Below are 25,015 nucleotides of genomic sequence, written 5' to 3'. Positions count from 1 at the left end.
GGCCACAGACCGGGACAAGGGAGAAGGCAAACCGTCGGGCCAAACCAAGGCAGCATTTGCGGTCCCCTTTTGCAGGGAAGGATCTGATTAGGAGCACACAGGCCCTGCCCTCCCCACCAACACAGTGTGCCTCCCTGGGGCGAGAGGAAGCCCGTGCTGGTGCTGCCAACCCCCCAGAGAGGACCAGAGACTGCTGGAAACCAACATTTTATTGAGCACTCCTGCTCCTCGGAATCTATTCCAGTAGATTCTTTGCCGAGGGCATCACATATCACACAGGGGTGTGACCAGCACTCCCCCTGCTACCTGCCGTGTGGGCAGGGGCAGGAGTGAATGGCTCTTCCTGGGCACAGGCCACAGTTAACCGGTGACAATTGCAGAGCCATAGGAATTCATCTTTTAGAAAAAACGAAAACTGGAATAAAAAAAAAACAAAAAACCTGAGTATAAAACCTCAGCAGTGTTCCAGCACTATCTCGGGGTTTAAATATAAAAAGGCATCATGAGAAAACAGTTAAAAAGATAACAGCAGCAGGCCGCCACCTCCAGGGCAGTGGTCATGGGGGTGGGGCCAGCCCCGCCCTGAGCCGCCGGGGCCTCACTTGAGCAGCAGGTGCAGGCCCCCGCTGAGCAGCGGCAGCAGCAGCGCCAGCAGCAGCAGCAGCGCCAGCAGCACCTGTTCGCAGGACACCTGTGGGAGCAAAGCAGAGGAGTCAGGCTCGGGGCAGGCCCCGGCAATGGGGCCAGACGGGTGACAGCGGAGTGCCAAGGGGAAGCCCAGGAGGGTGGGGACTGGGAAGGAGCTCGAGGGGACCAGAGAAGGAAGGAGTTCAGGAGAGGGGGAAAGTGGCCCTGAGGACGTGGCCAGAGAGGCCAGCGTGGCCTGGGCCTGCCAGTCTGCGGGACACAGGCAAAGACACCCGGTGGGCACAGGTGAGGGCAGTCAGCTGCCCTTGTGGTGGGCGGTGCCGAGTGGACACCATGGGACCAGGCTACCAGGAAGGCTGCTCAGGGAGGCCCCTGCCCTGGCCAGGAGACGGGAGTCCTGCCTGCCAGGTGAAGGCTCTCGGACCAGAGGGAGACCCAGGACCATGCACTGGTTTGTGCACTCAGAACCAGGCATCTCAAACCCAAAAGCCCATGGGATCAGGCAGATGTGGACACAGGTGACACAGATGATGATACGGAGTGGTGGGGACTGTGGCGCCCCAAGGAGCGGCTCTGACAGCCCCCACTGGCCGCAGCGCAAGTCAGGGTCAGGGATCTCAAGGCTCTTACCCAGGACCCGGGGTTCGGGGATCTCCAGAACCTCATTATGTTCTCCTTAAGTGTGGTGAAACCGTCCATGAAACTTCTAAGAACATCCCTGATGTCCTCAGTCTGGTCGTAGATGAAAGCCAGACCCAGGCTATAGACAAAGAGGATGGGGGGACAAAGCCATTACTGCAGGAGCAGGTAGGGGCAGCCTGTACTTAGATGACACCATCACAGCTGTGGGGAGCAGGGGCCTGTGCCCTCCCACCCCACAGCCACCCGGGGCCCTTTCCGTGGGCGCCTCCACCTGCAGGGGCCGCGTGGTATGGACTGTTTGTGGTCAAATTCATTCCAACTTCCTGCTTCCTCCGCCAGCCAGCCGCCCGCCAGCCCACCGGGTGTTTGGCCCTGTCTTCCAGAGCTGGCCACGTGGAAAATAAACCCCCATTCTACAGGGCCCTCACAAGCCACTGCCCACTCTATTCCCCCACCGGAGACTCGCTGAGAGGCCCAGCCCCCAGGATCTAGGATCCGAGCTCACGTAGCACCCCCTCTTAAGACCACGGTGGAAATGTACCATCTGGGCTCAATGAGGACGGCGAGAGAGAAAAGGGCCCTGGGCTCTGCTTTGTTGCCCAGGAATGCCAGGGACAGGTGGCAGGGGGCGAGTGCCAGGAGCTGGGGGCTCCCAGGAGAGGTGCGGGAAGCAGCCAAGGGTTTCAGTATAGCCCCAGTGTCAAGGCACATCCCCCACAGAGCTTCCTCAGGGCCCAGCCCTGTGCTGTGTTCAGGGCCTCCACCCACCGCCCAGGGCCCCTCCCCAGGTGTAGAGGCATAGGGCATAGGCCGGCTACCTGTGCATGGCCACCTCGGAGAGCTGGGCCAGGCGCGGGGCCCTGAGGCTCACGTCCATCTCGTCCCCGATGCAGGCCAGCCGCAGGGCCAATGCGTCACTGCAGGGAGCACACACAGGAGTCGGGTGTGGCTGTGCCGTGGAGGCCACATGCACCTGGACCCACCCAGCCAACGGATTGTGTGCAGCTGGGAGTGGCCCAGAGGATAAGAGATGGTGTCAGATTTGGGGCAGGCAGTGAGTGGGCCTCCCTGTATCCCTCCTCCGGCTCCCACTTGGATTCAGAGATACCCATGAGGTCCCATCCGTGGGTGGCCCCAGAGGTGCAAGCTATTTCAAAAAGAATCCTGGGGCAGGCCCACCTGTGGGCTTTGGTGGAAATGGTGGACAAGGGGAACAGGCAGGTCTGGGGGTGCTGAGCCCCCGGATGGCTGAGGCTGACCAAGGGGAATGGACAGGTCTGGTGGTGCTGAGTCCCCCGGATGGCTGAGCCCCCTTGAGCCCCCTTCCCACAGGGGTTGCAGCTTACCTTCCTTTGTGGGAGGTGAGGGGGCTCTAAGACCTGTGTCCTGGTCCCAATCCTGAAACCAGCCCTGCTGGCACCACCCCTCTCCAAATGGGGGGACTAAGAAGCCCCTAGTAGGCCCCCCACTAAACCACATCCTTGATCCTACACCCCACCCGCATTCACTCCCACACAAAGACTAAGACACTCCCCACCCTCCCAGCTTGCTGGTCTGGGCCTCTACCAGGGACCTGTGTGCATTCCATCCCAGTGACTACACCGGGGGAACTCCCAGGGAAGTGGGACTCCTAGGGGCCCTGAGCTGAGGCCGGCCCTGGGCCCTGGCCCCACCCACCTGACCTGCCAATGCCCTGGGCCTACACTCCCTACTTGGAGGGGATGCGGGTGGGAGGGGTACAGGTGTGGGCTGGCAATCAGGGTTGGGGGCTGTGGTCCTACCTTCTGTTACCCTGGGAAACCTCAGGAAAATACTGCCCCAGGCTTCATGTCCTCCAACCTTGTCCATTAATGGACAGGTGCCTCCAGTTCTAAAATCCTTAATGACTAAAAATCCTGAGGCTGAAAAAAAAAATCCTGAGCAGAAAAGAATCCTGTGGAACATGGAGCTGGTCCCTGGCCTGTGGGAGGTGCCACATCAGAGACAGGATTCCCCAGCAGAAAGCAACAGCCCAGGTCAGGCCTGACCATTCTCTTCCAGGCTCAGGGTAGAAACTACTGAGGTCAGCTGCTCCTGGGCCTTCACGTTCCTCATCTGTACCAGGGGAAGAATGAAAGTGCCAGTCCTGGCCGGGTGTGGTGGCTCACGCCTGTAATCCCAGCACTTTTTGGGAGGCCGAGGCAGGCAGATCACGAGGTCAGGAGATCGAGACCATCCTGGCTAACATGATGAAACCCTGTCTCTACTGAAAATACAAAAAATTAGCCAGGTGTGGTGGCAGGCGCCTGTAGTCCCAGCTACTCAGGAGGCTGAGGCAGGAGAATGGCGTAAACCAGGGAGGTGGAGCTTGTGGTGAGCAGAGATCATGCCACTGTACTCCAGCCTGGGCGACACAGCGAGACTCCGTCTCAAAAAAAAAAAAAAAGCCGGGCATGCTGGTGCACGCCTGCACTCCCAGCTACTCAGGAGGCTGAGGCAGGAAAATCACTTGAACCCGGGAGGTGGAGGTTGCAGTGAGCCAAGATCATGCCACTGCACTCCAGCCTGGGTGACAGAGACTCTGTCTCAAAAAAAAAAAAAAAAAGTGCAGGTCCTTCCTGCCGCTGGGATGGCCGGGTGTGCCTGGACATCTGGGTATGCTGCCGTGTGCTGGACATAGCTGGGAGCAGTTGGCAGAGTGCAAGGGTCAGGTCCTACTGGACCTTGGCCCCTGAAACCCCAGGCAAATCCTGCTGCCTCCAGGGTCCTTGTCAGTCCAAGGAAGATCCCTTCTTCATGCCTCAGTGATTCTTTGAAGCCGGGACCAGGAACTGCATGGCCTCCTCAGGCTCTTCCATAGGTTCTGGTTTTCTTTCTTTTTTCTTTCTTTCTTTTCTCTTTCTCTTTTTTTGTGAAACGGAGTCTTACTCTGTTACCCAGGCTGGAGTGCAGTGGTGCAATCTCAGGGCTCACTGCAACCTCCACGTCCCGGGTTCAAGTGATTTTCCTGCCTCAGCCTCCTGAGTAGCTGGGACTACCAGCGCCCATCCCCCCACCCCCGGCCCCATACCTGGGTAACATTTGTATTTTTAGTAGAGGTTGGGTTTCACCATGTTGGCCAGGCTAGTCTCGAACTCCCAACCTCAGGTGATCCGCCCACCTCAGCCTCCCAAAGTGCTGGGATTACAGGCATGAGCCACGGCGCCCGGCCCGGTTCTGGTTTTCTAAAATGAGAGCCGTCAGAGGCAGTTGAACCAGAGCGACTCCATCTTGATTAGGGGCTGGGTAACAAAAGGCTGAGACCTACTGGGTTGCATTCCCAGGAGGCTAGGAATTCTAAGTCACAGGATGAGATAGGACATCAGCATAAGATACAGGTTACAAAGACCCTGCTGATAAAACAGGATTCGGCAAAGACGCCAGCCAAAGCCCACCAAAGCCAAGATGGGCACAAAAGTGACCTCCAGTCATCCTCACTATTCATTGTGCACCAACTATATTAGCATGTTGGAGTCACTCACCAGTGCCACGACAGTTTACAAATGCCACGGCAACGTCAGGAAGTTGCCCTATATTGTCTAAAAGGAGGAGGAATTCTCGGTTCCGGGAACTGCCCACCCCTTACCCGGAAACTCATGAATAATCCACCCCTTGTTTAGCATGTAATCAGGAAATAACTATAAGTATATTCAGTTGAGCAGCCCATGCCGCTGCTCTGCCTATAGAGTAGGTTTTCTTTTTTTGAGATGGAGTCTCGCTCTGTTGCCCAGGCTGGAGTGCATTTTTGCAACCTTGGGTCACTGCAACCTCTGCCTCCTGGGTTCAAGAGATTCTCCTGCCTCAGCCTCCCGACTAGCTGGGACTACAGACATGTGCCACCAGGCCCAGCTACTTTTTGTATTTTTAGTAGAGACAGGGTTTTGCCATGTTGGCCAGGCTGGTCTCGAGCTCCTGACCTCAAGTGATCCGCCTGCCTCAGCCTCCCTAAGTGCTGGGATTACAGGCGCGAGCCACTGCGTGTGGCCCAAATTCTTTCTTGCTTGAGATCTAAGAACCCTCTCTTGGGATCTGGATCGGGTCCCCTTTCTGGCAACAGAGTCACCTCCTTCAAGAGGCCCTGATGTCCTCAGCAGGTCGCTAAGGGCCTGTCTAGCTCCCTGAGGCCCAAACACTGTGCCATTTTGACAGCCAGGGGCCCCAGGTCCATCTTGAGACTGTGAACATGCTGGCTGTCCAGGGGTCTGTGAGCTGGTATCAGGGGAGGGTGGGGCAGCAAAGTGAAGCCGCTCCCAGGGCAGAAGCCTCCATGCCCACATCCGGGAAATCTTCCTCTCGGAGGCCCTGCCTGGGAGGCATCTGCAGGCGCTCCCCCGCTCATAGAATGTCTGCTCATCCAGCCCACCCCTGAAGTCACTATCAGGCAGGGGGTAGGGCAGGCCATGGGGACCTACCTGCCCTCCATGCATTCCAAAGAATCGAAGTCCTCCATAGGGTCCAGGTCCTCTTCAGAGTCAGTCATGCCAAGAACCTCCATGGTCGGGGGTTCCAGGAGCTGCTCATACAGGAGGGTCTCCATCAAGATGTCTCTGGAGAGGGGTCTTACTTCAGACATTTCTCCTCTGGGGCAAAAAGACAGCATATGACTGGACCCCTAAGAACTGAGCAGTCTGGGGGCTCTCTCACAGGATGACCCCCAGATTGTATAGCCCTACTCACCAGCTCTTTTGATCCGCTAAAGCCGTCAATATCCCCCAACCCCAGCTCCCACAGGCATGAATCCTGCTACATGCTGGCTGTGTGCCTCTGGGCAAGTCGCCTAGCATCTCTGTTCTTGGAAGGGAGGAACTTGAAGATGATTCATAAGGGCCCTTTCTTTCTTTCTTTGTTTTTGGATACTGAGTCTTGCTGGAGGCTGGAGGGCAGTGGCACAATCTTGGCTCACTGCAACCTCTGCCTCCTGGGTTCAAGCAATTCTCCTGCCTCAGCCTCCCGAGTAGCTGGGACTACAGGCATGAGCTATGCCTGGCTAATTATTTTGTATTTTTAGTAAAGACGGGGGTTTCATCATGTTGGCCAGGCTGGTCTTGAACTCCTGACCTCAAAGTGATCCACCCCACCTCGGCCTCCCAAAGTGCTGGGACGACAGACATGAGCCACCACGCCCAGCCTTTTTCTTCTTTGTGAAACAAAATCAGAGTATAAATAAATATTAGAAGTTCTCCTCGGACACCAGCCCTCAAGAACCTGTCAAAGCAGAAAACCCAGGCACCTGCTGTCAGCACAGGGGACAGAGGCCAGGCTGCAGGGCGATTCCTCTGTACCACTTAACAGAAGGCTACACCTGTTCTTTGGTGTCTGCTGTTTCTCTTGAGAAGAAAGGCAGAGAGGCAGCATGAGAAAAACGTATCACAATCCCCATTCCCAGAGAGACCATCGCTAATTCTTCTAGTGTTTTTCCTAAACACTTGTGCGCATCACACATCCTTCTTCACAAATGGGATCACCCCATACAGTGTCTTACAGCCTTCTTTACTGGCAGATGCTATTTACCTCTCCGATATCCATTCCACCTGGCTCCTTGCTGATAGAACCCCAATTTTCTTCGGGGTGGCCCTGCATCCTCATTCATCTAAGCCAACCATGGCCCTCCTCTCCCTCAGCTTCCCAGCATCCCTTGCAGCTGGTGACAACCATGTAACCCAGTTCTGGTCAATGAGGGCTCAGAGGCTGGAGGCAGGGGTTGGATGCCAGGGAGTAGACACAGCCAGGGCAGCTCCTTCAAAGATGGAGCTGCAGTGGCTGACCAAGAAGAGCAGAGTGGGGAGGCAGAGAGCGGCCAGGCCTGAGGGTGTCACTGAGCTGTCTCCTCCAACTGTGTGTAAGAAAAATGAACCCAAATGTGTCCTCATCACCATTCACTGAGTTTCCTCTTCTTTGCCACCAAAGGCCTTCCTAACTATGATCATTGCGAATCCCATGCCAGTACATGTTTCATCATGATGGCAGAGAAGGGTTCTGCGACCTGATTCACCATCATGTACCCCACATTTACCCTACAGGGTACCAAACAGCCTTAGATGTAGATGACGATAATGACGATGACTGTGGCACGGAAATCTAATGGCCTAGTTCAAAGCCCGGCTCTGGCAGTTAGCAGCAGTGTGTCAATTTCTTCATCTGTGAAATGGGTTTCATGGTCTGAGAGCCCCGCCCTGGGCTATTGGGAAGACGAAATAAGGAACTCCTTCATGTACTTTGAACAGGGCCTGGCACGCTGGGAGGAAGTTGGCACTAACCATTACCTTTATGCTTCAACTCATTATTTTCTTACCATAATGCCCTGGGTGTTCTTAATTTTTAATTCCTCATGCCTGCTGACAGGACACTCCGCCCTCCCACCATCTCACTGAGCTGTTTGTTCACACAGGACACTGAGGCTTAGAGAGGTTCATGACTAAGCCAAGAAGGGACAGAGCTCCAAGTCTCCCTGACCCCCAGGAGAGAGAAAACTGACGGCAGGCAGGACCCACAGCGCCGCCCTCCCACAGGCCTAGGCACAAGTGTGTGCTCACGACTTGCTTTCAGCATTCAAGGGAGATGGATGGGCCGGGTGCGGTGGCTCACGCCTGTAATCCCAGCACTTTGGGAGGCTGAGACAGGCGGATCACCTGAGGTCAGGAGTTTGAGACCAGCCTGGCCAACATGGTAAAACCCCGCCTCTAATAAAAATACAAAATTAGCCAGGCGTGGTGACATACGCCTGTAATCCCAGCTTGAACCTGGGAGGCAGAGCTAGATTCTGACTCAAAAAGAAAAAATAAGGTTTCACAGATGAGATGTTTTACATTGTATAGACGGCCAGCAGTGTGCGTGTTAAGCTGGCATTAGAAGAACTGTGTCCAGAACTTCCAGCTGCCTTGGGTGTCTATGCAAATGGCATTTCCCTAGGAAAGCAGCTCCAGCCCTTGTTTGCTTTTCCCCCCTTTCCCTTCCCCTCGAAAAGGCAGTCTCCTGCTTTGTGCTCCTGGAGACCCCAGTACCTCCACGCCCCGCAAAGCCAGAGCAACAGTGGAACCTCACCTCACTGTGAGCTGAGCTGTGAGCTGCACCGAGCCTCGCCTTGACCCACTGTGCCCACAGCCCCCTTACCCAGCAGGCATTCCGAGAATCCTTAGGCGCCAGATAGGAAGAAGGCCCCAGCCACCAGAGTGGGCTGCGCTGCCGAGGGTCTGCAGCAGAGTGCAGGTCAGGCCTACCTGAGGAGTCAGTCACCCACGCTCTGCCTGCAAGACCCTTTCAAGCTCCCCACCCTGCCAACCTCCCCATCTGAGTAGACCCAGGACCACATCTCACCTTAGGTTGATACCCTAGCCCAACCCTTCCTGCACCAGCCTCAGTTTCCCCATCTATTGTGTTTTTGTTGGTGGTAGTGTTTTTTTGTTTGTTTGTTTGTTTGTTTTTGAGACAGTCTCACTCTATTGCCCAGGCTGGAGTGCAGTGGTGTGATCTCAGCTCAGGTGCAACCTCCGCCTCCCAGGTTCAAGTGATTCTCCTGCCTCAGACTCCCAGGTAGCTGGGATTACAGGCACATGCCACCACACCCGGCTAATTTTTGTATTTTTAGTAGAGTCGGGGTTTTACCATGTTGGCCAGGCTGGTCTCAACTCCTGATCTCAAGTGATCCACCCGCCTCAGCCTCCCAAAGTACTGGGATTACAGCACTTTGGATTAATTTATTAAATACCCATTACCCTCTACCACAAAGAAGGGACCTAATCTGAACCTTTAACCATCTGGCCTCTGGGCCCAGGCCCTCAGATTGACTTGATATGAATGGCAAAGATCCCATCACCAACTGGGCCTAGGCTGGCCTTAGGGCCCAGATCTGCATGGGAAAAGTGTGGAGCCAGGGAGCGGAAGGTGGGGAGCCTGCCCAGGAGGGTCCTTGCAGCAGCGACCTCCTGCTCTGGTCTCTCCTGGCCACCCCACCAGCCCAAGGGAGGCCCAGTCCTGTCAGCTCCTACCTGGCACCAGCTCTGAATGCCTTACTGGTCTCCAGCCTTCAGTGGAGCTCTCTCCAACCTAATCTCAAGGTAGCAGCCTCAACCCTGACCCTGTCACTGCTCTGTTCGGCTCCCTAGACCTGGCCTGGTGCAGTGCGGCTCACGCCTGTAATCCCAGCACTTTGAGAGGTGGAGGCAGGTGGATCACCTGAGCTTAGGAGTTTGAGACTAGCCTGGCTAACATGGTGAAACGCCATCTCCACTAAAAATACAAAAATTAACCAGGTGTGGTGGCGCTCGCCTATAATCCCAGCTACTTGGGAGGCTGAGGCAGGAGAATCACTTGAATCCAGGAGGCAGAATATGCAGTGAGCCGAGACCGCGCCATTGCACTCCAACCTGGGTGACAGAGCAAGACTTGTCTCAAAAACAAGTGGGGGGTTGTGCCACATCCACTAACAGGCCCTCCCCCTGTGGCCCTGCCACCCCAATCTTGGTTCCCGCGCTAACCACACTCAAGTATGCTTTCCATGGATGGTGCCTGGTCCTGCCATGCCTCCAAAGTCTTCAAATGTGCAGAGCTCACCAGCCAACCTCAGACCGGCCCATGCCTACGCCTATTGGTCCTTTTTTAAAAATTAAATTTTATTATTATTTTTTTCACAGACAGGGTCTCACCCGTTTGCCCAGGCTGGAGTGCAGTGGCCTGATCATGCTCACTACAGCCTCAAACTCCTGGGCTCAGGTAATCATCCCACCTCAGCCTCCAGGGTAACTCGACAGGTATGTACCACTGCACTTGGCTCATTTTTATAGAATTGCTGTAGAGATAGGGTCTTGCTTTGTTGCCCAGGCTTGTCTCGGAACTCCTGGCTTCAACTCCCGCCTGGGCCTCCCAAAGTACTGAGAGGATGGGTATGAGGCTGGCCTATTCGGGCATCACCTTCTTGGACCCTCAGAGTCTGCTTGGGGGCCTCCTGGGGGTCCTGCAGCCCCTGTCTCTGCTCCCCTCTGGCTCCAGCTGACCACTGCACTCCAGGCTGGGCTACAGGGCAAGACTCCATATCAGAAAAAAAAAAAATTAGAATGGAGATACTAGTAACACCTATTGCACAGGACTGTTGTGGGGATGAAATGATCCGGCACAGAGTAAACCGCTAAGAGAGGGGCTGCTGCTCTTATCAGTTTCTGGTTGTCAGCCCAAGGCCTGGCATAGAGCAGACATATGTTTGTTGACTGAAGACATGAAGGCAACCTATTCCCAGAGGACCCACTGTGAGGTCACTGCAGCTGCAGATACAGGAAACTGGACTGGTTTTTATTATCTTTTTTTTTCCAGCAAACTTGCAAATGAGTAGTTGAAACCCTTCTTTGGTGAAGGAAGACACACCTAGCCATGTGTCCCCACCCAGGCTACAGCCCGCACTTAGCCTCCTACACACTCACCAGTGGAAACACCAGGCGCCAGTCAGAAGCCCTATTTTACCCTAAGAGGTTAGGATGCAAATCTAGTATGTGCAGAAAAGAGTACCACACCCACGGCCTTGAGGGCACCTGCAGGGCTCCGAGTGGGAGGGAGGGCAGGTTCTGGACAGAGCAGCCTACATTTGGTGAACAGCTCTGCACTCGACAGCTCGCCTATGGCTCATCTGGAAGATGGGGAAACGCCATCTACCTCCCAAGCCCCTCCCAGGTTGCCCAGAAGCACAAGCAAGTAGAGATGTGTTCTGCTCAGCCCTCAGCAGGTGTTCGAGGGCCGAGGCTGCAGGAGTGTCAGAGCGGGGTTGGGGGCAGAGGTGGATGGGGCTGGACCTGAGGATGAGGTCGAACTCCTGGTAGGGACCCTCAGACTCTCATGACCTCGCCCAGTCCTGTCAAAGCCAAGCAGGCGGGATCTGACACTTCCTGTTTCACAGGCAGGCAAACCGAGAGGGTCAGGGGCCACGCTGGGGTCACAGGGAGGGCCAGCTGAGTGGGCCCAGCTAGAAAACCCTGGTCCAGTCTTCCACGTGCCACCCTCCCAGTCACAGCCTGGCCCTGGACCATGAGGGTGGGGTGGCACAAAGCCCTTGGAGCGCACACAACTCCAGTGTAACCCAGCAGGAAACGCCCTGAGCCTGCAGCCAGGCTGGACCTCAGTTCCACCCCCTGCTCGGCCCCTGCTGTGTGAGGCAGAACAACCAGCTCACCTCTGAGCCTTGCAGAAACAGCCGGGCCTCCAGGGCTGCTGAGAGGATGAAAACATACACTACTGCCCATTTTCCACCACCTAGCAGGGGCTCCATAAAAGCTGGTTAACACAATCAACAGCCTTAGAAGAGAGGAGACCAGAGGCCACTCACAGCTCAGGACGCCACGGTGGACTGAACATGTTGCTGCCTTTCTGGAGGGTAGTGTGACCATCAGCATCCACCAGTCACACACGCACATGACCTTTGATTTCTAGGGATGCATCCCACACACACCCCTGCATGGACCTGGCAGCCTTGAAAAATTGAAGCCATAGATCACAGGCACCGCTGTGCTGTCATCACAGCCCTTCGGGAGGCCGAGGCGGGCACGTCGCACGAGCCCAGTTCAAGACCAGCCTGGGCAATACAACGAGACCCCCTCTCTAAAAATAAATTAACAATAAAAAATTTTAAAAATATATGAAATGGGCCAGCCGCGGTGGCTTACACCTGTAATCCCAGCACTTTGGGAGGCCAAGGTGGGCAGATCATGAGGTCAGGAGTTCAAGACCAGCCTGACTAACATGGTAATAAAACTCCGTCTCTACCCCGTTTCAAAAAAAATTAGCCAGGTGTGGTGGTGCGCGCCTGTAATCCAGCTACTCGGGTGGCTGAGGCAGGAGAATCGCTTGAACCTGGGAGGAGGAGTTTGCAGTGAGCCGAGATCACACCATTACACTCCAACCTGGGCGACAAGAGCGAAAAACTCCATCTCAAAAAAAAAAAATATGGGCCGGGCGCGGTGGCTCACGCCTGTAATCCCAGCACTTTGGGAGGTTGAGGCGTGCAGATCACAAGGTCAGGAGATGGAGAGCATCCTGGCTAACACAGTGAAACCCTGTCTCTACTAAAAATACAAAAAAAATTAGCTGGGCGTGGTGGCGGGCGCCTGTAGTCCCAGCTACTCGGGAGGCTGAGGCAGGAGAATGGCTTGAACCCTGGAGGCAGAGCTTTCAGTAAGCCGAGATCATGCCACCACACTCCGGTCTGGGCGACAGAGTGAGACTGTCTCAAAAAAAAAAAAGAAAAAGAAAAAAAAAAATCCGTAGTATGTACCTTGTTTCCTCAAGTTTCAAGAAAAAAAAAAGACAGCTCACTTTTTTCTCTTTAAACACTGATGTGTAGCTAGTAACTTGGATAAAAAGGTGCCACCCTACAAAATGTGCTCAGCGTGTTCTGATTCCAGGATGGGCTTGGCTGCCTGGGCTGGGCCTGGGAGACCTCCGTCCGTCACAGTGGAAACTGAAGCCAAGTGCCAGTGCCGCATCCGGCTTCAAGATCTAGAATCAGAGCCTTTGAAATGGAAAAGGGGCATCTGAAACGGCACCCCCACCTGCGGCTTTCAGAGCTAAGGCTCCAGAATGAAGGGGTCACCTGGCTAGTGACAAGATGGGAGTCACCCTGAGCTGCAGCTCCCCCCAAGATTCCCCTGTGAGAGGCCCAATATGGAGTATTACTATTTTGAGACAGGGTCTCTCTGTCACCCAGGCTGGAGTGCAGTGGCATGAACATGGCTCACTGTAGTCTCCACCTCCCTGGGCTCAGGTGATCTTTCCACCTCAACTTCCCAAGTACCTGGGACTACAGGTGCACGCCACCACACCTGGCTAATTTTGTATTTTTAGTAAAGACGGGGTTTCACCAGGCCGGGCACGGTGGCTTACGCCTGTAATCCCAGCACTTTGGGAGGCCGAGGCGGGCGGATCACGAGGTCAGGAGATCGAAACCATTCTGGCTAACACGGTGAAACTCTGTCTCTACTAAAAATACAAAAATTAGCCGGGCGTGGGGGTGGGCGCCTGTAATCCCAGCTACTCGGGAGGCTGAGGCAGGAGAATCACTTGAACCTGGGAGGCAGAGGTTGTAGTGAGCCGAGATTATGCCATTACACTCCAGCCTGGGTGACAAGAACAAAACTGTCTCAAAAAAAAAAAAATGCATTTAATACATGTAACCTACCCAACGTCACAGCTTAGCCTTTTGGAGGCTCCCAGCACTTTAAGAGCACAAGGCGAAAGGATCACTTGAGCCCAGGAGGTTGAGGCTGCAGTGAGCTGTGACTGCGCCACTGCACTCCAGCCTGGGCGACAGAGTGAGACCCTGTATCAATAAGTTAGGGGAGGAGATTTTATTCTATGTCCTTTCCTGTTCGAACACCTATAAAAATAATCCTAACCGTAGAGGAAGTCTAACAGACTAATAATTCTCTTGACTGATTTTGAAATGACCCCAAAAAGGGGAAGCCTGTGCCTTTTTATCACCATGAAGGAAGCAGAGAATGCCAAGCCACCACCTGGGCCTACAGTTGTTAAGTTTCAAAAGTTCATATTTAAAACAAGTTCTGGGCCGGGGCGCGGTGGCTCCCTCCTGTAATCCCAGCACTTTGGGAGGTCAAGGCAGATGGATCAACTAAGGTCAGGAGTTCAAGACCCCCCGGTCAACATGGTGAAACAGTGTCTCTACTAAAAATACCAAAGTTAGCCGGGCGTGGTGGCGGGCACCTGTAGTCCAAGCTACTCGGGAGACTAAGGCAGGAGAATCACTTAAACCTGAGAGGCAGAGGTTGCAGTGAGCCAAGATCGTGCCACCGCACTCTAACCTGGGCAACAGAGCAAGACTCAATCAAAAATAAAAAATAGGCCAGACGCGGTGGCTCACACCTATAATCCTAGCACTTTGGGAGGTTGAGGCAGGTGGATCAACTGAGGTCAGGAGTTCACAACCATCCTGGCCAACATGGCGAAACCTCATCTCTACTAAAAATACAAAAACTAGCCAGGCGTGGTGGCGCACGCCTGTAATCCCAGCTACTAGGGAGGCTGAGGAAGGAGAATCACTTGAACCCAGGAGGTGGAGGTTGCAGTGAGCCGAGATCGCGCCACTGCACTCCAGCCCCCGCGACAGGAGTAAGGCTCCATCTCAAAAAAAAAATAAAACAAGTTCTGAAATGCTGAGGCTGAAGAATATGAAGACTGCTCACCCTGGCCCCGACCCTGAGGCTTGAGAGGCAGGTACGGCCCCTGGGCTCCACTTCAGTGTTTGGGTCTCCCCTATGAACTTGCACCCAGCCCTTTCACACCCCAGCTCCTCCTTTACATCCTCCCTCTGTTACCAACATCCCCCAGGCAGGCACGGGGGACTCACTGCTTCCTTGGGGCTCAGGCACAAGTCACTTCCTCCCCACCCTCCCCAGGACAGAATTAAATGCTCCTCATCTGTGTTGTCCCAGCACCTTGGGTAAACAGACCTGGATTGGGCACTCAGCCCATCAAGGTCTCGTTAAATGTTTACCTGTGTGTCTGCCCCAGCCAGTCGGGAACCTGCATGGCCCCAGAACAGAGCAGGGACCCAGTGAAAGCCGGTGAGAGGATGCAGACAGCCTGAGAGTTCACTGCAAAATCCTGAGAATGAGGGAAGGGGTTACTCTGGTGCTGGGCTCACGATGGCAGGCTGTTCCTGGCTGGGAGACCCTGGACTGGACAGTATCACCTTCTGTTAAAGGGCAGGAGGGAAAGCCCCATGGGCAGATGTAGCCCTGAGAAGGAGGTGAAATGCTGCATGCATGGTATGCAGTAAGTGCCCACTAAGAGGCAGCTCTCATTCTGTGAGCCTGTTGCTCTGCGAGGCGCACACCCGTGCTGACCACCTCACGGTCCGAGCTCGGATTTATCTTCATGATGCGCCATTGTCTGCACAGGGAATTTCAGCTCCTCCTGGAATCAGGTAGCTCTCTTTGCCCTCACATGAAAGGGAGCCTCTAATCTCGAAGATACTGTCACACACAATAAATGTCATCTCTTGGCCAGGCACGGTGGCTCGCACCTGTAATCCCAGCACTTTGGGAGGCTGAGGCGGGCGGATCACAAGGTCAGGAGTTCAAGACCAACCTGGCCAACGTGGTGAAACCCCATCTCTATTAAAAATACAAAAATTAGCCTGGTGTGGTGGCACGCGCCTGTAATCTCAGCTACTCGGGAGGCTGAGGCAGGAGAATCACCTGAACCCGGGAGGCAGAGGTTGCAGTGAGCTGAGATCACACCACTGCACTCCAGCCTGGGCAACAGAGCAAGACTCCATCTCGGGGAGGGGGCGGTCAAGAATACTTGATCTTAAATATCCAAAATGACAGGGACCCTCACTCAAATAAACAAGTGAGCTTTTCTCTCTTTGCTGCATGGCTTTTCAGTTTGGCTAACTGGGTGCCAAGTTCTGTCCCACCCCCAGAAAAACAGGTTTACCATGCAGTGCCTGGCGAGGCCCAGTGGTGTTTTGTATTGTCACATCCTAATATTGACACTAGGAAAATCAGCTGCCCTGTGTGCCCGCCCCTCTCCTGCCTGCCTCGGGGCCAACAAGGAACTTAGGGGCCACGGACTGATTTGCTCACATTCTATGTTTCTCCCAGGGCCCAGCCCCAACCAACCAGTGGCAGGACAAAGGGAGGCTAGGAAGTGGCCACATGTGTCCAGTTCAGACACACTGCTGGCTTCCTGGTGACCACCAACAGTAAGACTGGTGCGGAGACTTCCTCCATACGGCTCAAACTGTTCTGAGCACAGACGGTAGTCAAAATCTCATGGGATCCGCTAAGTCTGCAGCAGGGGAAGCAAAAAGCCATTAATTGTCTACACATTTAATAGGTTCACTAAAAACAGGATGCTTTCCAGGGAGAGGGGAAAATACCACCAGCAGTGGTGTCAGCTTCAAGACTCACTGGCCAATCAAGCCCTTCCTCAATTACATCCTTCCGTTGAGACGGGATCAGAAATGGGGGAAAAAAAAAGTACACGGTTATGAGTAGTCTCTGGTTTATCTGCAGCTCTGTGACACAAGACGTAATTTTTTTTTTTTTGAGATGGAGTCTCACGTTAGCCCAGGCTGAGTGCAGTGGCACCATCTCTGCTCACTGCAATCTCCGCCTCCTGGGTTCAAGCAATTCTCCCGCCTTAGCCTCCCAAAGTGCTGGGATTACAGGCAAGTCAAATGTGTAAGAATCTTGAGCCGGGTGAGGTGGCTCACGCCTGTATTCCCAGCCATTGCACTCCAGCCTGGGCAACAAGAGCGAAACTCCGTCTCAAAAAAACAAACAAACTTACAATAACTAACATGTATGCAGCCTCTCTATCCAGCCATAGAGTACCCAAGCTGTAACAGACACTGGGGATCTACCATTTGATGCTTTTTTAAATTTTCTTTTGACAGAGAGTCTCCCTATGTGGCCCAGGCTGGAGTGCCATGGTGTGATCTCCGCTCAGTGCAACCTCTGCCTCCCAGATTCAAGCAGTTCTCCTGCCTCAGCCTCCCAAGTAGCTGGGATTACAGACACACGCCACCACGACCGGCTAATTTTTGCATTTTTAAAAGAGACTGGTTTTGCCATGTTGGCCAGGCTCGTCTCACAACTCCTGACCTCAGGTGATCCATCTCCCTCGGCCTCCCAAAGTGCTAGGATTACAAATGTGAGCCACCATGCCCAGCCTAATGCTCCTTTTTTTGAGACAGGGTCTCACTCTGTCTCCCAGGCTAGAGTGCAGTGGCATGATCAGGGTTCACTGCAGCCTCAACCCCTCCAAGCTCAGGTAGGCCTCTGAACTCAGCCTCCTGCGTAGCTAGGACCAGAGGCACATGCCACCATGCCCGGTTAATTTTTTGTATTTTTGGTAGAGACAGGGTTTTACCATGTTACCCAGTCTGGTCTAGCCCAGTCTAGTCTCCTGAGCTCAAGCAATCCTCCTGCCTCAGCCTCCCAAAGTGCTAGGATTACAGGCACGAGTCAAATGTGTGAGAATCTTAGTCTTAACATCCTTAAGACAATTAAAAAAAAAAAAAGGGCCAGGCATAGGGGCTCACGTCTGTAATCCCAGCACCTTGGGAGGCTGAGGCAGGAGTATTTAAACACTCAAGCCGGGCGGGGTGGGTCACACCTGTAATCCCAGCACTTTGGGAGGCTGAGGCGGGTGGATCGCCTGAGGTCAGGAGTTCGAGACTAGCTTGGCCAACATGGTGAAACCCCATCTCTACTAAAAATACAAAAAATTAGCTGGGCCTCGTGGTAGGCGCCTGTAATCCCAGCTACTAGGAGGCTGAGGCAGGAGAACCGTTTGAACCCAGGAGGCCGAGGTTGCAGTTAGCCGAGACGGCGCCATTGCACTCCAGCCTGGGCAACAAGAGCGAAGCTCTGTTTCAAAAAAAAACAAAAAGAAACAAAAAACACCCAAACTGTGCCATTCCTGAGAACTTATTCCAAAGGCGTGCCCAAATTAAGTAGAAATCGGGGTGAGTCTTAACTCCAGGGAGGCTACTAACTTGAGAGGGGCTTTCACCTGGCCAGAAACCTCAGGGATACATTTTGCAGAGTGAACAGAACAAACTGAGGTTCAGAGAGATGGAGTGGCCCTTCCGAGGCCACAGGGCTGGAGAGTGGAAAGAGGTTTTGGCTTGGGTTCCATAAAGGGCCCTTGGCTTCTAGCTAGACAACCCTGGCATTTCTGTGCCTCCTGGGACTGAAATCTCTGTTTCTCCACCTGGAAGATGAGGCCTCCTGCTCCCAGGGGCAGACAGATGTTAAGAACTTCCCGGCGCTAGTGCCCACCAGACTGCGCTCCTCCTAATGCGGGGACATGAGGCTGACACCAATGCTCCCTGGGAAGCTCGGGCTCCCAGACCACAGTAAACACTGCGTTAAAACAGCAACAAAAATGTTACAATAGTAAGAGCTACAACAGTAACATCAACAACCACGTCCTACCCCACGAGTGGCTCATTCTAGCAAAATTGACAATGAAGGGCTTGAAAGCGATCGCATTTAGGAGGCCAGAGCCCAGACGACGACCAGCTCCGAACCCCACAAGCCTTGTCGTGACCGCGCCCCGCAGGCGGGGGGCCCCCTCGCGGGTCACCCGCAGGGGCGCACCTCCAATTTACCAAACAAGGTCGCATGCCCCAGCCGGGCTCTAGTCCCCGCCCAGTCTGGGGCGCACCTGTGCAGGGCGCGTGGGCAAGCGAGGGCGGGCGGCTGCGCGCCGCTCCGTGTGCACGTTCCTGTTCCGGACTTTCTGGGCGTCCCGTTACGAAGCCTTTCCTCGGCCCTTCCTCAGGTGCGCAGCGCCTCCGGGAGCCGGTCCCGGCGGCACCGGGCACGACGCCATCTTCCCTCTTTTAAGGGCACCGGGGCTGTGCGGCCGCGGCCGTGGGCTGGCGTTGCCGCGCTACGGTCTGGCCGGGTCCGCACGACCCCAGAGTTCGGAGCCGGGTGCCCGGAAGCCGCACTGGAGGACTGTGCGGCGGCGATGGGGCGTCCAGCCGTCGCGGCGAGACGCAGAGGGACCACCCCATTGCACAGGCGCGGAGACTGAGGCCCGCAGGGGCCGCGCCTGGCACGATCGCCCGTCGGGGACCTGGAGCCCCGGACAGAGAGGGTACGTTTCGGAGCCGGAGTCCCGAGACGTCGCCCCGCCAGCGACTTGCTGGAGCGGTAAAACCTGGGCACGGCTCCCCACACTTCCAGCCGCTCGGCACCCGGGCCGCGGCCTGGGCGCTAACCGCCGGGCTCGAGCTGGGCGGAGCAGCGGGCGGCAGCAGGGTCGGGGGCACTCACCTGGCGGCGGCGATGCTGGCAGCGTCTGTAAGCCACCCGGGAGGCTTCGTGTCTGCGGCCCGGCTGCCGGCGCGGGACCTAATAGGCCCGGGCGCCCCGCCCCTCCCGCCCCGCCCGGGTCCCGCCCCTCCCCGGGAGCGGCCTCTCGCACCCCGAGCGCGGAATCCCGGACTGGGGTCTGAATGGCATTGGCAACAGAACCGCTACAAGTGCAGCCCGTTGGCTTGTTTACAGCCTCTCTGCCCCCTGCTGTTCTGCAAGCTTGTTTTGTCCCGTGCGTCGCTGTTTCCCCTGCGCCCAGCACGGGCGTGCACTCAGGGGTTTCCATCAATATCGGGGGGATCGATCCATTGACAGAATCTGGCCCTTTACACGGATGGCCTCCGTTCGAGCTCAAAGTACTCCTCGGTGCTTTTTTTCACGATCATTTTACCCACGTGGAAACCGAGGCTCCAAGAGGACGAAATGACTTAAATGACAGCGTGAAGCCAGCGTTCAAAGACGTGTGCTCCTTAGGCTGGCAGCTTTGGGATTTAGGTGTTTTAAAGCCTATTTCACAAATATGAAAACCGAGGTTCACATTTGGTTAGCAGCAGCATCCAGTGATCCATACCCGAAGCCAGGGGGCTGCCCCTCCACTGCCGCCCGTCCGCAGCCTTCCAGCTGCATGACACACCCACTGCCTTCCCCCTCCCGTCGGGGCTCCGGGTCCGCGAGAGGCGGGCGGGACTGGGAGGGATTGGGGGCAGGGGGCTCACGTGCAGACCTGGTGAGACGGACCCCACAGCGCCTGGCGGGGCGAACAGAGAAATCAGAAAGCTTCCAGGCGGGGTGGGCGGGTGGGCAGCCTGCTACGCGGGGATGGGTAGGACCTAACTCCAGCCCTGGGGTATATTGGGGGTGGGAGAAGGCAGAGCGCTCCTGGAATAACAAAGTAACAATTGTCCTGGGCACGGCAAAGCTTGTTTACTTCTGTCTTGATCCCCTCAGAGATTAGGGGAGGGGCAGGGACAGGGGTTCCCCTCCCCCAGCTCTGTCGTTTGCTACCTGTTGGGTACCCTCACTCTGTTCTTCCCACCTCTAGGGTAATTACTTCCCCTTCAATGTTCTCATCTGTGAAATGGACAACAGCACCTACCAAGAGCTGGGCTGTTGGGAGGAACAGAGGAGGTAAAGTGTGATAAAGTCTTCAGAGCCCCTCCCGCCTTCCGGGCTCTGGACCTTCTTTGCTTTTGTGGGGTTTTTTTGTTTGTTTTTGTTTTTGTTTTTTTGAGACAGAGTCTAGCCCTGTTGCCCAGGCTGGAGTGCAGTGGCACAATCTTGGCTCACTGCAACGTCTGTCTCCCAGGTTGAAGCAATCCTCCCGCCTCAGCCCCCCTAGTAGCTGGATTACAGGCGTGTGCCACCATGCCCGGCTAGTTTTTGTATTTTTAGTAGAGACGGGGTTTTGCCATATTGGCCAGGCTGGTCTTGAACTCCTGACACCAGGTGATCCACCGGCCTCGGGCTCCCAAAGTGCTGGGATTACAGGCGTGAGCCACCACTCCCGGCCCTGTAGTCTTTTCTTCTAGGGCCTCCAAACTACATCAACCCCTACAAAGCAGCTCGCCCTGACTGTGGCTAACAGCCACAGAGTGCCTTACAGTCAGGAGCAGGGAACCCTTCATAATGGGGGCTTCCCTCTGAATGCATTTTGCAGATGAAAAAATTGAGACTCAGGGAGGTAAAGCAATGACACGGGGTCTCATGGGTCCGAAAGACCTGATATATGTGAGATGCTTGCAGAGGGGTCTTAAGGCTGGAGGCACAGTGCCAGGTATGTAGGAGATGTTCAGTAAACATTAGCAGAAAAGATGGAGAAAGAAGGACCGTTTGGGGACACTGGATGATTCAAGGGCAGAGTGGGTGCAAATACAGTACTTATTTACTTTGCAAAATCCCAAGACAATATGCTGATCAAAAGGAGGAAGAGATGGCTGGGCATGGTGGCTCACGCCTATAACCCCAGCACTTTGGGAGGCCAAGGCAGGTGGATCACCTGAGGTCAGGTGTTTGAGACCAGCCTGGCCAACATGACGAAACTCCATCTCTACTAAAAATTAAAAAACTAGGCCAGGCGCGGTGGCTTGCGCCTGTAATCTCAGCACTTTGGGAGGACAAGGCAGGCGGCTCATCTGAGGTCAGGAGTTTGAGACCAGCCTGACCAACATGGAGAAACCCCATCTCTACTAAAAATACAAAATTAGCTGGGCGGGGTGGCACATGCCTGTAATCCCAGCTACTCGAGAAGGTTGAGGCAGGAGAATTAGGGAGGCAGAGGTTGCAGTGAGCTGAGACCACGCCATTATACTCCAGCCTGGGCAACAAGAGTGAAACTCTGTCTCAAAAAAAAAAAAAAAAAAGTAGCGGGTGTGATGGCACTCACCTGTAGTCCCAGCTACTTGGGAGGCTGAGGCAGAGAATTGCTTGAACCTGGGAGGCCTTGATTGCAGTGAGCCAAGATCGTGCCACTGCACTCCAGCCTGGGCAACACAGCAAGATTCTTCTGTCTAAAAAAAAAAAAAAGCTCACGAAGGAAACTGTCTTGGAGATGCATGATCGCATGATCTATTGAATGAAATGGCATGCTGTATAAATCACTGTGTCCATTAGAATCCTATATTCTTTAAAAATCCATGTATGGCTGGGCAAGGTGGCAGGTGCCTGTAATCCCAGCACTTTGGGAGGCCGAGGCAGGCAGATCACAAGGTCAGGAGATCGAGACCATCCTGACTAACACAGTGAAACCCCATCTCTACTAAAAATACAAAAAAATTTAGCTGGGTGTGGTGGTGGACGCCTGTAGTCCCAGCTGCTCAGGGGGCTGAGGCAGGAGAATGGCGTGAACCCGGGAGGCGGAGCTTGCAGTGAGCCGAGATTGTGCCACTGCACTCCAGCCTGGGCAACACAGCGAGACTCTGTCTCAAGAAAAAAAAAAAAAAATCCATGTGTGAAAGTCTGGAAGGAAATATAGCACAGCAAAATGGGAATAGTAGTCATCTCTGGGCATCATGAAGTTCATTACCAGGCACACCTAATCTATGGCGCTAGAGGTGACATTGGCGGCTCCCTCTCCAGGGTGAAGATGGGTATTGGCTGGGAAGGGGCATTATGGAACTTTCTGGGGTGACACAGATGGTGGCTGCAGGGGTGCATATGTATGCAAACAGCTGAATGCTTAGGAACTGTGCATGTTTTGGTATGTCAATTAAACTCAATACTAATACAGGTGTATTGAGTTTTTGTTTGTTTGTTTTTGTTTTGTTTTGTTTTTGAGATGGAGTCTCACTCTGTCACCCAGGCTGCAGTGCAGTGATGCCATCTCAGCTCACTGCAACCTCCGCCTCCTGTGTTCAAGAGATTCTCCTGTCTCAGCCTCCAGGGTAGCTGGGACTACAGGCATGCACCACCACGCCCGGCTAATGTTTTTTTTTTTTTTTTTTTTTTCTGTATTTTTAGTGGAGACGGGATTTCACCCTGTTGGCCAGACTGGTCTTGAACTCCTGACCTCAGGGAATCTGCCCACCTCGGCCTCCCAAAGTGCTGGGATTACAGGTGTGAGCCACCACGCCTGGTCCTATTAGTTTGTTTTTTTGTTTTTGTTTTTGTTTTTGTTTGGAGACAGCGTCTCACTTTGTCATCCAAGTTGGAGTGCAGTGCAGTGGCGTGATCTTGGCTCACTGCAACCCCTGCCTCCTGGGCTCAAGTGATTCTTGTGCCTCAGCTTCCTGAGTAGCTGGGATTATAGGCGTGCATCACCACACCCAGCTAATTTTTGTATTTTTAGTAGAGACAGGGTTTCACCATGTTGGCCAGGCTGGCCTGGAACTCCTGGGCTCAAGGGATCCGCCCACCTTGGCCTCCCAAAGTGCTGGGATTACAGGTATGAGCCACCGCTCCCAGCCGTGGTTTAGTTTTCTGCCTTGTGTTTTCATGTATTTTCCGGATTGTCTAGATAAACGTGCAAAAACATTATCTTTTTTTAGAAGAGGAAGAAAACTATGTTTGGTCTTAACTGAAGCCAGAGCCAAGCCAGAGACAATGCCAAATGCCTACCTTCAAGACAGTGGCAATGCAGGGACAGACAGAAAGTGACTGTGGCGTCAAGCAAGGGAAAACTAAGCGCCAGGCTCCCACAGAGGACACAAATATATCAGGGAAAGCTTCATGGAGGAGGAGATATTTGAGGGGAATTCAAAGAAGGGACTGGATTCCAACCAGAATAGAAAGGTGAATGTGGCCTAATTATCCTGTCGGTACTGGGGAGCTATGGAAGGACACTGAGCTGGAAAGGAACAAGAGGTTAAGGAATTGGAATCTAGCAGCCATGCGGAGGGGTATTGAAGGGAAAATAATGCCCATTGTCTCCGAGAGTGCCCAGGGCTCCTAAATAGAGGTATTGCAGCCTCCGTCCAACTGATTGGCGTACCCAGGCTGCCCCCCGACCCACAGCTGGCCAGCAGTACATCCGTCAGCTGGCATTCTGCACACCCAGCCTGGACTCAGCTCCGAAGCTGTGAGGCCCTCCATGGACAGAGCTGTTGTACATCCTCTGAAAACTTTTTTTTTTTTTTTTAAACTGAGTCTCGCATTGCCGCCCCGGCTAGAGTGCAATGGCACAATCTTGGCTCATTGCAACCTCCACCTCCCAGGTTCTAGCGATTCTCCTGCCTCAGCCTCCCAAGTAGCTGGGATTACAAGCGCCTGCCACCAAGCCTGGCTAATTTTTTGTAGAGATGGGGTTTCACCACGTTGGCCAGACTGATCTCGAACTCCTGTCCTCGTGATTCGCCCACCTTGGCCTCCCAAAGTGCTGGGATTATGGGCGTGAGCCACCGCGCCCAGCCCTTTTTTTTTTTTTTTTTCTGAGACATATTCTCACCCTGTCGCCTAGGCTGGAGTGCAGTGGTGCGATCTTGACTCACTGCGACCTCCGCCTCCTAGGTTCAAGCGATTCTCCCGCCTCAGCCTCCCAAGGCTCTGAGATTATAGGCACGCACCTCACGTCCGGCTAATTTTTGTATTTTTTAGTAGAGATGGGGTTTCACTGTGTTGGCCAGGTTGGTCTTGAACTCCTGGCCTCAAGTGATCAGCCCACCTCCACCTCCCAAACTGCCGGGATTACAGGTGTGAGCCACTGCGCCCAGCCTAGGAAACTTTATTACATTCCCAGTTTATCGGTGAGGAGACTGAGGCTTTGAGAGGCCAACTGAGCTGTAGGGTGGAGGGGCATAGACACTGCACCTGACATGAGGGGTGGAGGCTGCCCTTCACAGCTGTGTGAGCTTGAGCACAGCCTCGTGCATCAGAGGCTGTCTTTCCCACACTCTCTGGGAAATGGAGATTGCGATACACAACTCATAAGGATGTTGGCAGGATGTCAGACCCAATGCCAAGTGATCTTCACTATTGTCCGAGGCTGGTGGTGGGGCTACTGCTTCCCTTCTTCTCCTGCTTATTTTACTTTCTTCCACAGCACCTTCTGCTCTCTTACATATTTAGTCACCTGTCTATTTGCTTATTGTCTGACTCCCATCCCCCACTAGAATCTAAACCAGACTCATCCTGCGCCGCTCATATAGTAGGTGCTCAGTAAATAGCTGGGGGTTTTTTGGTTTGTTTTTTTGTTTTTTTGTTTGTTTTTTGTTTTTGAAACAGTTTCCCTCTTGTCACCCAGGCTGGAGTGCAATGGTGCAATCTCAGCTCACTGCAACCTCCACCTCCCAGGTTCAAGCAATTCTTCTGCCTCAGCCTCTTGAGTAGCTGGGATTACAGGCATGCGCCACCAAGCCTGCTAATTTTTGTACTTTTAGTAGAGACAGGGTTTTGCCATGTTGGCTAGGCTGGTCTCAAACTCCTGACCTTAGGTGATCTGC

At 54.1% G+C, this 25,015-nt stretch overlaps 1 protein-coding gene across 1 annotated transcript, besides 7 other annotated features; it reads right to left on the bottom strand.

The window, feature by feature from the left end:
- Positions 1-191: 191 nt before the first annotated feature.
- BIK (BCL2 interacting killer) lies at positions 192-19,154 on the bottom strand. The gene is made up of 5 exons (NM_001197.5): positions 19,101-19,154; positions 5,721-5,888; positions 2,109-2,207; positions 1,279-1,408; positions 192-691 (listed from the first exon to the last, which is right to left on the bottom strand). The coding sequence occupies exons 2-5, from the start codon at positions 5,879-5,881 to the stop codon at positions 599-601; spliced, it is 483 nt and encodes a 160-aa protein (NP_001188.1). The 5' UTR covers positions 5,882-5,888; positions 19,101-19,154; the 3' UTR covers positions 192-598.
- Positions 457-1,334: an enhancer, noted in NCBI's record as "H3K4me1 hESC enhancer chr22:43524576-43525453 (GRCh37/hg19 assembly coordinates)". NCBI's record gives its function as "activates a minimal SCP1, AML or CMV promoter by ChIP-STARR-seq in naive H9 embryonic stem cells {active_cell/tissue: H9 hESC(naive)}" and the evidence as "EXISTENCE:reporter gene assay evidence [ECO:0000049][PMID:30033119]".
- Positions 807-856: an enhancer, noted in NCBI's record as "active region_19184". NCBI's record gives its function as "activates an Ori minimal core promoter by ATAC-STARR-seq in GM12878 lymphoblastoid cells {active_cell/tissue: GM12878}" and the evidence as "EXISTENCE:reporter gene assay evidence [ECO:0000049][PMID:35858748]".
- Positions 10,508-10,667: an enhancer, noted in NCBI's record as "active region_19183". NCBI's record gives its function as "activates an Ori minimal core promoter by ATAC-STARR-seq in GM12878 lymphoblastoid cells {active_cell/tissue: GM12878}" and the evidence as "EXISTENCE:reporter gene assay evidence [ECO:0000049][PMID:35858748]".
- Positions 18,285-18,504: a silencer, noted in NCBI's record as "silent region_13854". NCBI's record gives its function as "represses an Ori minimal core promoter by ATAC-STARR-seq in GM12878 lymphoblastoid cells {active_cell/tissue: GM12878}" and the evidence as "EXISTENCE:reporter gene assay evidence [ECO:0000049][PMID:35858748]".
- Positions 18,529-19,087: an enhancer, noted in NCBI's record as "H3K27ac-H3K4me1 hESC enhancer chr22:43506823-43507381 (GRCh37/hg19 assembly coordinates)". NCBI's record gives its function as "activates a minimal SCP1, AML or CMV promoter by ChIP-STARR-seq in naive H9 embryonic stem cells {active_cell/tissue: H9 hESC(naive)}" and the evidence as "EXISTENCE:reporter gene assay evidence [ECO:0000049][PMID:30033119]".
- Positions 18,529-19,204: a biological region, named in NCBI's record as "H3K27ac-H3K4me1 hESC enhancer GRCh37_chr22:43506823-43507381".
- Positions 19,035-19,204: a silencer, noted in NCBI's record as "silent region_13853". NCBI's record gives its function as "represses an Ori minimal core promoter by ATAC-STARR-seq in GM12878 lymphoblastoid cells {active_cell/tissue: GM12878}" and the evidence as "EXISTENCE:reporter gene assay evidence [ECO:0000049][PMID:35858748]".

Source organism: Homo sapiens, chromosome 22 (genome assembly GCF_000001405.40).
Source record: "Homo sapiens chromosome 22, GRCh38.p14 Primary Assembly".
NCBI lineage: Eukaryota > Metazoa > Chordata > Mammalia > Primates > Hominidae > Homo > Homo sapiens.
Note: the sequence above shows the minus strand (reverse complement) of the source record. Positions and strands in the feature narration are given on the sequence as shown.